This window comes from Homo sapiens, chromosome 2 (genome assembly GCF_000001405.40).
Source record: "Homo sapiens chromosome 2, GRCh38.p14 Primary Assembly".
Taxonomy (NCBI): Eukaryota; Metazoa; Chordata; class Mammalia; order Primates; family Hominidae; genus Homo; species Homo sapiens.
In genome coordinates this window covers 234,808,550-234,820,894 of record NC_000002.12, presented here as the reverse complement: position 1 = coordinate 234,820,894, position 12,345 = coordinate 234,808,550, and the positions used below count along the sequence as shown (strand labels likewise).

General features: G+C 45.7%; 1 long non-coding RNA gene across 2 annotated transcripts in view; it reads left to right on the top strand.

Moving 5' to 3' along the window:
* Positions 1-12,345, top strand: part of LOC101927896 (uncharacterized) — a 95,712-nt gene that overhangs the window by 67,995 nt on the left and 15,372 nt on the right. Inside the window, exon 6 of one of the 2 annotated variants that reach the window (XR_002959457.2) lies at positions 3,517-3,653. This is a non-coding gene — a long non-coding RNA (uncharacterized LOC101927896). Of the gene's footprint in view, positions 1-3,516; positions 10,279-12,345 lie in introns of those variants that run through there. The other variant, XR_007088126.1, reaches the window with a different exon arrangement.

Here is a 12,345-nt window from a genome sequence, read left to right as displayed (position 1 = left end):
ATGAGGTTTAGATGCAGGGGATACAATGCTGAAAAGGCCAAGTTTTAAATAGGGTAGAAAACTTCCCAGATTGGAAAAAATAATTACTAGCATTGAAATCTAATTTTTAAAGCAATGTTTTCTCCAGCTCACAGCTCGTGGAATCCATTTCCTTTTGTGAAGCTCAGATGCGTAGCATGGGCAGGAATTGTACCATTGGGCATAGAGTTGAGCTCTGGGAGGCATGTGGAGGGATGTGCTTTGGCATGGCTGGAGAAGGCTTGTGGCTGGTTCTCGAGAGAACTCAGCTTGTTCTCTGTAGCTCCTTCCTGCTCATGTGGGTGTCCCCAACCCACATCAGTCCTAGTACCTCGTTCTTTCCACCACAGCACACTTCATACTTTCGAAACGTCTATTTATTTGTATATTTAAATAATTAAATTATCTGGCTGCCCTACCAGACTACATACTCAAGAAGGGCACGAAGCATCTATTTTACTCACCATTGTAGCTGGCATACAGTAAGCATTTCTTGAAACAACGGATCTCAAGCTTGGTTGCACATTGGAATCAGCTTGAACATTTAAAAAATTCTGATGCCTGAGTGCTTGCCCTGAAAGTTTTTGATTCAGTTGATCTGGGGTGTGGTTCGGACATTGTTTTGTTGTTGTTGTTGTTGTTTTGTTTTGTTTTTGTTTTTTGAGATGGAGTCTCACTCTGTCGTCCAGGCTGGAGTGCAATGGTGCGATCATGGCTCACCGCACCCTCTACCTCCTGGGTTCAAGTGATTCTCTTGCCTTGGCCTCCTGAGTAGCTTGGATTACAGGCATGCACCACCACACCCAGCTAATTTTTGTATTCTTAGTAGAGACTGGGTTTCACCATGTTGGCCAGGCTGGTCTTGAACTCCTGATCTCAGGTGATCCACCCGCCTCGGCCTTCCAAAGTGCTGGGATTACAGGTGTGAGCCACCACGCCCAGCCCAGACACTGGTTTTCTGTGTTTGTCTTTCTTTAAGTTCCCCAGGTAATTCCACTGTGCAACACATTTTAGGATTGTTCAAACTCATATTCTGGCCTACCAGATTTATAGAATCAGGGTCTTTGTAGGTAGGGCCTAGGGAATTTGCACTTTTACAAATTTCCCAGGAAATTGTTATGCAACCTTGAATTTGAAGCCCATGGGTGCAGAGAGCTGTCATCAGTGTGGCCGTGGAAGAGACCTCTGTAGGCAGCATGTGGGAAGGGAGGAGGGTGAACGTCAGGGAGGCTCTGGGGTTGGTGCAGGTTCTTTTACTCCCACTGTACAATTACCATCATGCTCACGACTCAGCTGCTGCCCCCGGATGGTCTTTTTAAGTTGGTCTTTGGTGAAATCCTGGCCTCAGTATTGTTTTAAAACTTTCTGTAATTCTGATGTGCAGCCAGGGTCAAGAATTGCTGGTAGAAGGAGCCAATCAGAAGAGGTGTAGACAGTTGGGGGCCAGGGTGAGGAGGTGGGTTGTAGGTGGAGTTGGCAGCTAAAAGAAAGTGGAATAACCCAGAGTTTGGGGATTTGGGCTGAACCACTAGGTCCTAGATCAGGATCCTGTTAATTTCCTAGAGCTGCCATAACAAGTTACAGCCCTGCATTGCTTAACAACAGGGGAATGGTTTGAGAAATGTGATGAACGTTAAATGATTTCATTGTTGTGTGAACATCATAGAATATCTAGATGGCATAGCCTTCTACACACCTAGGCTATGTGGCATAGCCTGTTGCTCCTAGACTACAAACCCGTACAGCATGTGGCTCTACTGGGTACTGCAGGCAACTGTAACATGATGGGAAGTGTCTGTGTATCTAAACATATCTAAACATGGAAAAGGTACAGTAAGAACCTGCTATTATAATCTTATACGACCACTATCATATATGTGATCTGTCATTGATGGTATCACAAACATGATGGCTTAAAACAACAGAAATTTATTATCCCACAGTTCTGGAGGTCATGAATCCCAAATCAAGGCTCACGCAGGGCTGGTTCCTTCTGAAGGACCCGAGGGAGAGTCTGTTCCAGGCCTCTCCTGGCTTCTGGTGTCTGCAGCCAGTGCTCGGCTTGCAGACATGTCACTCCAGTCCCTGCCTTTGTCTTCACATTCCCTTCTCCCTCATGTTTCTCCTCTGTCTCTGTGTCTCAAATCTCCCTGTCCTTTTTCTAATAAGGACACCAGTCACTGGATTTAGGACCCACCCTAAATTCAGGTTGAGCTCATCTTGGGATCCTTCATGACAGCTGCAGACACTTTTTCCAAATAAGGTCACGTTCACAGATTCTGGGAACTAGGACCTGGACGGATCTTACTGGGGGACAAAATTCAACCCACTACCAAGGTTAACAGACTTCACAGTTCCCACCCAACAGTATGGCTGAGACAGGTGAGAAAGCTCCTGACAGAAACAGCCCACTTGGCTGTACCTGGGGTGGGAACAGCATCTCCTTCTCCTTCAGAAACAGAGTCCATGAAGACACAGCACGTGGGGAGAGTTAATGGTGGAAGGTGGGGCAGCAAGACTTTTAGGTTTGAAATCAACAGCTGTTGAAATCAACAACTAAAAAAGGTTTTACATACACACACACAGACACACATACACAGAGTTAATTAAAGTTATTCTAGGTGGATAGCTGGGATTGCATGGTTCCCTGCTGCCACTATCCTGGGAGGAGATGACAGAGGAAGTCCACTCTTGCTGCCCATCTTAGATTTAACCTTTGTCATCACCCTTATCCTTTGGTTAGTTTTTTTCTATATGAAAAGTGCTTTCTTCACATGGAATAAAGTCTTTGGACATCAATGAACGTGTACACATTTTAAAGTTTTAAAGGAAACTTAAAATACTTGGCAGACATAAAGGGACTTTTTCTTTCCTAAAGCGAAGAGCGGAGGCAAAGTTGGGGGGAGTTTTTACTGCAAGGTGTGGCTGGCATTTTTATTTACAGTAAATTTAAAAGGGATTCTCTGGCAAAGCAAATGCTAAACACACTTCTCCAGGTATGAAATCATCCTGTGGCTCTGCTCTTCTACTTTGTGGCTGAAAAGGGTCCTTTTCACACCCAGAATTGCTGTGATGTTATTTATCAAAGGAAATACCTTGAATTTCAGGTACTTGGATCCAAATTAAAGGGCACATTCCCCCTTCTCCACCCAATAGATTTATGGTTTTATTTCAACATCAAAATCCAAATCATGAGTTTCCTTGGATTACATTCAATGGACTGAAAACTGTCAGTTTAGAGAAAGCGAATGTTTACAACCATTTCGATAGACGCTTTAGGCAGTGAGCTACTGTCGGAGGTTCTAAGATGAACCAATTCCTATCTTGAGACTAACATCACTACTATGAACGCACCCCAGAGAAACACACCCACAGTATAGACTGGACGTTTTTAAACCTGCTAAAAAAAAAAGGTAAAAATACATTTCAGAAGATGTAAAAGAACTTGCCCTTGTTACCCAAATACGCTTAGAAACTTATTTTCACATTGCCTTGTAGATGGTGTGAACTTTAAAAGGTCAAAAAGTAAATATGTCCTTATTTGGAAAATAAGACATGTTTCTTGTGAGGAATATTGGCCGATCCAGAAAAAAATATAAAGAAGAAAAGAAAACAGCCAGAAATCTCAGCAACTGGTAAAAATGTGTGTTTCGTGGGGCATCTGGTCTCTCGTCGTTGTCTGGGTGAAGGAGTCTGTCCCCAACCTGTCGTGGGTAGACTCGTGGGCTGGGGTGGGACCCCTTTTTGCTCTCAGCGTTTCCTCCCAGCCGGGCATCACTTTTCTTTTCCCACTCACTGGGATTCAGCACTCACCCAGAGCCATTTCCTGTGAATTCTTGTGGGACCGGATCTTTTTCCTTCCTCTTGTAAAAAAAATTCTGACCCTACGCCATGGCTTAACTTTGATTTCCAAATTTAAATGTATAAAACCAATGTTATTTGGGATGAGTGAATACCAGGATGGTTGAAGAGGTGGAAGCAAGATGAAGGCAGCCGAGCAACCCCTGGAAGCTGAGAAATCCCGGAGTGAATCCTCCTTGGGTCTGTGCCCCACCTTGGGAACAAATCAACCGCACTGAACTCTTTCGGGCCATAAGGGGGCCATTCACTCCATGATTTCTGCAGGATGTATTTATACCCTTGAAGAAGCTTAAAAAAAAAAAAAAAAAAAAAACAGTCCGGAGACTGCAGGGAAAAAGAAACCAACCCCCAAACCAAATACACCAGGGGCTTTGTGCTCCTACATCCCGTGCTCCCGCCATTCATCCGTAACAAAATTAGTGTAATCATATCTGCAACGGAGGAGGAATCAAATTTGCTCTTCGGTTCTGCTGTTTGGGTAGAGGTTTCCTCAAGGGGACAGGAAAGATGGATCTTGCCCTTTGGGAATTCAATGAAATTTTTTCTTGGCAAACCATATTTTCTAAGATCAGCAGTTAGTTGAAAAGGAAATCGTATAGTGGTCTGAAAGGAGGTAATCATTACTCCAAGGAGTTCTGCCTCTACATGGCACATTTCAAATCTTCCATAACAAAAAACCCAGAGGTCAGATGTTCCAGAATTGAGTGGTTGCAGGCTCAGGACAGACATCAAGTTCTTGCCTCTCCCTGCCTCGGGGCTGTGCCTCCCTCAGCTGCTGGCTTGGAGCTCAGGCCTGTCCCCTAGGGTCATAGAACAGCTGTAATGGCTGCCCTGGCATGACCTTCTCCTACCGTCCTGCAGAGCAGCAGAAAAGCTACTGCTCCTTCCTGGTCCTCTCTCTCTCACTCACCATTGTGATATAATACACATGATACAAAATCCCCGATTTTAACCATTTTAAAGATACTATTCAATAGCATGTAACACATTTACAACATTGTACAACCATCACTACTCTCTAGTTCCAGGAAATTTTCATGACCCCAAGAGGACATCTTTACTCATTAAGCAGTCTCTCCCATTCTCCCAGCTCCAAGCCCCCAGAAACCACGAGTTTGCCTTCTGTCTGTCTAGATTTGACATTTCTGGACATTGCATAGAAATGGAATCATACAGCACGTGGCTTTCATGTCTGCCTTCTTTCACTCAGCATCGTGTCTCCGAGTTCACCCATGGTATAGCATGTACCATTCCATTTTATGGAAGACGATATTTCCTTGCATCGATGTACCACATTTTGTTTATCCTGGTTGTCTCTTTTTTAAGAGCAAGAAAGGTCTTTCCCAGAGCCCCTGGCAGACATCTCTCCCTGTCTCACCAGCCAGACCTGAATCTGGAGGTGATGCCTAATCCAAAAACCGGTGGGAGGACGGGATGATTAGGGGTGCTCTCTGACTCTCCTGTGCGGGAAAATGTCTCTTCCCTGGGCTCACGGTAGTCTGGAGGAAGCTCCCTGAATGACACGGGACTCCGCCATCAAGCGTGGCATGGGGAGTGGATTTGGGGCGGCCATCCACAGTGCTGCTGCAGCACCTGGCTCCTAAGTTCATGACCCTCTAGATCTACAGTAACTACAATGAAACGGGTTGTTAAAATGGAAATTTCACAAGGGTTCCAATATGATAGATGTCATTTACTAAACAACCTATGGATTAGGCCGTTCTTACTTTTGCTATAAAGAAATACCTGAGACAAAGTAATTTATAAAGAAAAGAGGTTTAATTGGCTCACGGTTCTGCAGGCTGTACAAGGATGGTGCTGACATAGCTTAGCTTTTTGGGAGGCATCAGGGGCTTTTACTCACAGCAGAAGGCAAAATGGGAGCTTGGTATCACCTGGTAAAAGCAGGAGCAAGAGAGAGTGCGGTGGAGGGGGAATGTGTGTGTGTGTTGGGGGATACACCCTTTTACACAGATCTCATGTGAACTCAGAGCAAGAGCTCACTCATCACCAAGGAGATGGCTAAACCCATTTATAAGGGGTCCACTGATGATCCAAACACCTTCCACCAGGCCCCACCTCCAACCCCAGGGATCATGTCTCAACATGAGATTTGGAGGAGACAAACATCCAAACCACATCAACCTATGGGGCCAAATCTTCATAGGTGGAATTTACAAAAGGAAGCCTTCTAAAAGAAGTTTCACCGCTCCTAAGCACTCAAACAGAAAATGGAAAAAAAAGATGTGAAGAGATTTCTTTGAAGATAAAGACTGATTGTCCCCCACCCCTGTCCCACCCCACTGTTCTCCTCCCTTAAGCTGGGAAGGGACCACTCAAGCACGGTGACAGGACGTGCTCACAAGGCTGCCCTGCAAGGTGAAATGTGTCTCTGCAGCTGGAGAGGCTGACGCCTGCACCTGTGGTTGTGAGAGACCCCCTGGAGCCTGTGGCTGCCAGAGAGCAGCGGGCTGGGACTGACTGGCATTCCCAAGTGTGGTCAGGATGAGGAGCCCTGTATTAATCGTGTTTTTTAGCTTCTGTATTTTATGATGCTTTGACATGTTGTGGACTTGCTGATGTGGGAGAGGCCACCCCATTCAAGCTAGCTGATTCCTAGAGAGAGTAACTCCTCCTGCCTCCTGCAAGCCTGCCTGCCATATGCAAACCAGTCCATCCAAAGCCTGTATCCCCCAGTTGCCTTCTTTATCAATCTCTCCCACTCCAGGCCGGCATTCCCCAGTCCTAATCACTCCAAGGCCAGGTACCAGACAGCGAGGGACAGGTCCTATACCCCAGAGCCTGCTGACCTTATTCAAACTCGCCACCCTAGCCCTGCCCACCCTGTTTTACCCATTTCTCTCCACAAAAAACACAATAAAGACTCTTGCTACACTCTCCCTCACTCCTGCCTCCTGGCCACCCCAGTGCTTCCTCATGTGACCCTGCATGGGATGGTGGCCTCCTCTTCTTGGCAACTGTAACAAACTTTTCAACAGCGGCTGTCTTCTGGTCTGTTTGCCTCACCATACCCGAATAATAATAAAGCCTACATTTTAAAAATAAGCATGTAAATGCTTCCTGGGGACCTGATGCAGCCCACACAGAAGAGACAACTGGTGTCAGTCATCTTGGATCCTGTCCATAAGGCCCCCGAGAGGGTCAAGGGGCCCCACCCCAGCAGTACTGTGCATGCCACAGATCTGGGGCTAGGAGGAAGGAACATGTCAGCCTGCGTGCATCAGCCTGGGTCACAGGAGCCACAAAAGGGAGACGCCCAGGACAGAGTCAGCCCAACAATCGGTGGCCCCAGCAAAGGCAGCATCATCCTTACTTCTCCGATGAATTCTTTTTTTTCTAAGATGGAGTCTCACTCTGTGGTATAGGCTGGACTGCAGTGGTGCAATCTCGGCTCACTGCAGCCTCTGCCTCCTGGATTCAAGTGATTCTCCTGCCTCAGCCTCCCGAGTAGCTGGGATTACTGACACCCACCACCATGCCTGGCTAGTTTTTGTATTTTTAGTAGAGACGGGGTTTCACCATGTTGGCCAGGCTGGTCTCGAACTCCTGACCTCAAGTGATCCACCTATCTCAGCCTCCCAAAGTGCTGGGATTACAGGTGTAAGCCACCAGCCCTGCTCCAAAGAATTCTGCACAGGCTGGTCTTTTCCTGGCATTCTTTCTCTTTGAAACATTCTGACCAGCCGAAGATACTGTGTCCTGTAAGTGGCCCTGGCTGGGAACTACTGGTCAACCCTCCCTGCAATAGTAATATTTCACTAATATGTCTGGATATTGAGCATCTAATAGAATTTTGGTATTTTTCCCCACCAAGTGTCTCTTTTTGCTGTTGTAACTTAGGTTGGAGCATGAATGAATAAGTTGAGCAAGATCTTGGAAGTCACTTCTGTAATTCTTTCTTGTTTCCAATGAGAAGTGAGGCTGAGACAGGCTTCATGGTTTTTCCTTGCTCAGCAGATAGCTAATCGGTGGCTGAGCTCAAGCCAGATCCCAGCCCTGAACATAATCGTGTGAGGGAAGAGAATATAATTAGGTGGTCAAATAAAAATGATGCCAATAGGCAAAACTGAGCTTCATTGCCTGGTGCCTCTAAAACATTAGATGGATTTTGTTACAGGGATGGAAAAAGAATGATCAGCTGATCCTTTCCTCTCTAATGTAAACTCCAAACTGGCAGTCACCTTCTCTCTCCTGGGTATTGTTACGTCCCTAGCAATGTGCCTGGCATATTGAAGGTGCTACAGGAAATGTCTGTTCAGAGATTAAATGAAGAGTAACAGGTTTAAAGCCTTTTTATCTTACCTATAAAGTTATTGGGTGTCTGCAAAGAAATTTCATCATTGGAAATTTTGTTTCACAGTTAATTAGAATTTCATAACGTCATTCATGTTATCCCTTCAAGAATGTACTAAGCATATTCTTGAGCATTTTTATCTCTCTTTCTTGACATTTTAAAGGTTCAGATACCAAAAAAGGCATTTGCTGTGATTAAATGTTGCTTTAGGTACAAGAAGAAGGGGACGCAGGCTGAGGCATGGTGGTCAGTGAGCTTGTACTCACCATGTCTGGCTGCCCAATTCGTCCTGGAGCTTGGAGCTTGGGTGTGATGTGTGTGTGTGTGTGTGTGTGTGTGTGTGTGTGTGTGTGTATCTGCTGGGAACAGGGTGCCTTTGCAGTTAATTTGATTAATGTAGTAGGCAGAATAAAGGCCCCCCAAAAGATGTCTTAAGCCCTGACCTGTTACCTTACCTGGCAAAAGGGAAGTAAAGTTGCAGTTGGAACTAAGATTGCTAATCGTCTGACCTTAAAATTGGAAGATTATTCTACATTACCTGGGCAGTCCCAATGTAATCACAAGGACCCCTAAAAGTGGAAGAGAGGGCAGGAGAGGAGTCAGAGTTGGAGAAGGAGAGGTGACAGTGGAAGCAGCTCAGGGTGATGTGCTGTGAGAAGGACTCAGCCCAACCTCGCCAGCTTTAAAGATCCAAGAGGGCCATGTGCCAAGGAGTGCAGGGGTCCCCAGAAGCTGAAAACAAGAAGAAAGCATGTTCTCCTCTAGAGGCTCCAGAAAGGAACCTGGCACTGCTGACACCTTGGTTTCAGCCCAGCGAGACCCAAGACCCATGCGGGACATCAGCCTCCAGAATTCTAACACGATGGACACATTTGTATTGTTTTAAGCCCCTGACTTTGTGCTAATTTGTTACAGCAGCCATGGGAAATTAATAAAGTCAACTTGGATGGACAGTGAGACATGCATGTCAAGCCTACAAACATGAATGATGATTGATTTGTCAAAACCAAAGCGTTGAAGCTTACTCTGTACCACTGAAGGTAATTGTGCTCATCCAGGCACTGGAACTATCTGGAGGGGACTCTGTATTATGGAGAGTTATTACCTGTCTTCCCTCTGTAGGCTGTAGGGAAGGTAAACCAGCCAGCATGTTTTTATTAGGTTAATCAGATCTTTACCATCGAATAAGAAAAACCAGAAGAAGAGTGGGTTAGAAATCTGAGGCCCACATCAATCACAACTTTTGTGTAAGCGGCATATTTTATTGCCTTTTATCATTTGTAAAAGACGGAACTGCCAGCGTCTGATGACTGTCAGATGTACAAATTATATTCTACCTGCTTTAAGAAGAGTGCGGTTGCAAGTCCTTAACGGTGTGGAGGCACACAGCAGCTCTGATGGGGTTTCCCAGTTTTACTCTCCATCACCTGCAATGACGGTGAAATGAGATGAAAAGTTCAACCCAAGTTGCATGAGGATGTTCCCAGGCTAATGCAGGGAATCTTCGGTGAGAATGAAACTCTGGTTTTTTTTCCTGAGTCTGGTATACCTTGGGTCTTTGAAGTTTGTAAGATTAGAATCTTACGTGCAAAATGATGTATTATCGATTCAAGTTTCAGAAACTTTCATACTTTAGCCTTTTAGCTAAAGTTTTAAAAACATCATGTTTTTGATTTCCATTTTTAATTCAATACCATGTTTTAAAGAAGCTTTGTTGGCTCTAAAGCTTTGAGTCGAGCTTTTCCTGCAAATACTCTGTGATGCCAGTTTCTGAACCTGAGCTTTATTAATATGGACAGCGAGGCCGCCTTTCAGCTAAAGGTTTTGCCCTGGGCAGTAGGGGAGTACTTTATCAGCCTGCTCTCCTCTTGCTTAGGCGCTTGGAGTATTTAGTCAAATCAACACTGGCTTCTCTCCTGACCTTCCATTCATTATTCCTGACACCAGAACCCGGCTGGAGAAGGGCACATCGAGGCTGCCTCCAAGTCATGAAATTGTCCAAACAGGATTTCTCAGAAGTCACGAGAGCTGGAGAGAAAAATCAAATTGTGTGATATAATAAATACTTTTTTCCTTCTCACAAATTGCAGATGACGAAATGTGACTCTCTCCCAGGCTGTAGTAGTTTGTTGAGGTCTCACCTGATGTGTTGGCAAATGGTACTCATTTCCTTAGACACACCACACGTCACAAAAACCCAATGACTTCTTCAAACTCAAGAGAGGCTGAGCAGTGCCACTGTTAGCATGGCCTGCTGAGTCACTTCTGTTGGGGACTTGAGTGGAAGGAGAAAGCTCGAATCCATGAGTGGGGTTTCATCCATTTGCCGTATTGGTTCACGTGCACAGTCTTTTGGGGACACGTTTAATGATGATGGCCGCTGATGGAAGGCATTGTTCAGTAGCTGAGGGTAAGATCTGAATAGAGCAAGCCCAAGCTCTGAGCTCATGGAGTTTCGTGCAAGCCAGGAAACAGATTGGAAGCAAGTCAACAAGGTGCTGTGTTAGATGAGGTGTTCAGGAAAGGTTTCGGCGGGGGGGGCAGACATCTGAAGAGAAGGGTAAGAGAAGGTTTGAGTGACACATACACCTGCGGGCAGAGGACAGCATATGCAGAGACTCTGAGGTGTGTGCATAGGGCTGGAGGCAAAACCAGGAGCAAGGCTAGGGCGCAGCAGAGCAAGTGGGAGGGGTGTGAAACTTCACTGGAGGGGGTTTGGGAGGCTGTGATGAGGACTTGAGACTGTGATGGAGACTTGTTGGAACCTCTGAGCAGGGTGGTGTCTGGACTAGATTGCTGTTTTAAAGGAATCACTGTGGTTGCCATTTGGAGAAAATATCAGAGGATCAAAAGTAGAAATAGAGAATGCAGTAAGGAGGAAACTACAGTGATTTGGGCAAGAGGTGATGGGAACTTAAGGGGAGAGCAGAGGAGGTGGTCAGACACAGATGAGTTCTGGTTCTGTTGCATAGGTTGAACCTGTAGGATTTGCTGAAGGATTGGATAGGAGACACAGAGAGAGAATGTGAGAAAGAGAAAGTTGGGGGCAGAAAGAAACAAGAGGAAGAAGGAGGAGAGGAGAGGAAGAAGGAGGAGAGGAAAGGAAGGAGGGAGGGAGGGAAATCTCCAAGGTTTTTGGCCTAGAACCTTGGAAATCTTGATGTTTATTTTCTGAAATGGACAGACTGACAGTGGGGAGGGCAGTCATGTGGAGGGAGGGAGGGACCGGGAGCCTGCTTTGGCCATGTTAAATGTGACTGCCCGTTCGATGTCCAAGCAGCATCAACAATGCCCGGTGTGGAAGGACGTTTTCTAGCCCTGGCTGAAATGCGTGCAGGTCTTTGGTTGGTTAAAAGAGGGGCTGGTATCCTCATTTGCATCTGCCCTTCTTTGCTCCTGCCACCCATTATGGGTGAGCCTGGGGCCATTGGCTGCCTTTCTAATGGCTTTTGCTGCTGCCTGGCTCACCTCTCTCCACCAGTTCATCCTTCACTCCACTGCCCAAATGATCTCTCTGCAACATGAATCTAATTGTGTTACTGCCACTGCACGCTTTTCTAAGGCTCAGTATAACCTTTGGAATACAATTCAAATCCCGGGCCTCTCCTGGCCTGGCTTATCCACTCACTCTTCTCTGCAAGTCATGCTCCAGCAACACTCAGGAATTATGATCATAACAATGAAAATAACACACTTTCTTGAATGTCCCTGTGTGCTCAGCTCCATGCTGAATGCTTTTCATGAATTATCTCACTTAATGCTCACATAAACTATACAAGGTAGTTAGTATCATTACCTGTACTTTACAGATGAGAAAATTGACATTTAGAGAATTAAGAATTACATTAAGTAAATTTCTCAAGCTCTCATGGCTTGTAAAAGACTATTAGAACTTGATCCCAGGTTCTTTTTGTAAGGTCCAGACCCCATGCTCTTGACCACTGTACCTGTGATTCCCAGATCAGCAGCAGCAGCACCATGCAGCCACTTGTTAGAAATGTAGCTTCTTGGCCTGGCATAGTGGCTCACACCTGTAATGCTACCACTTTGGGAGGCTGAGATGAGAGGATCACTTGAGCCCAAGAAATCAAAACCAGCCTGGGGAACATGGTGAGACTCCCTCTCTACAAAAATTAAAAGACCAGCTGGAT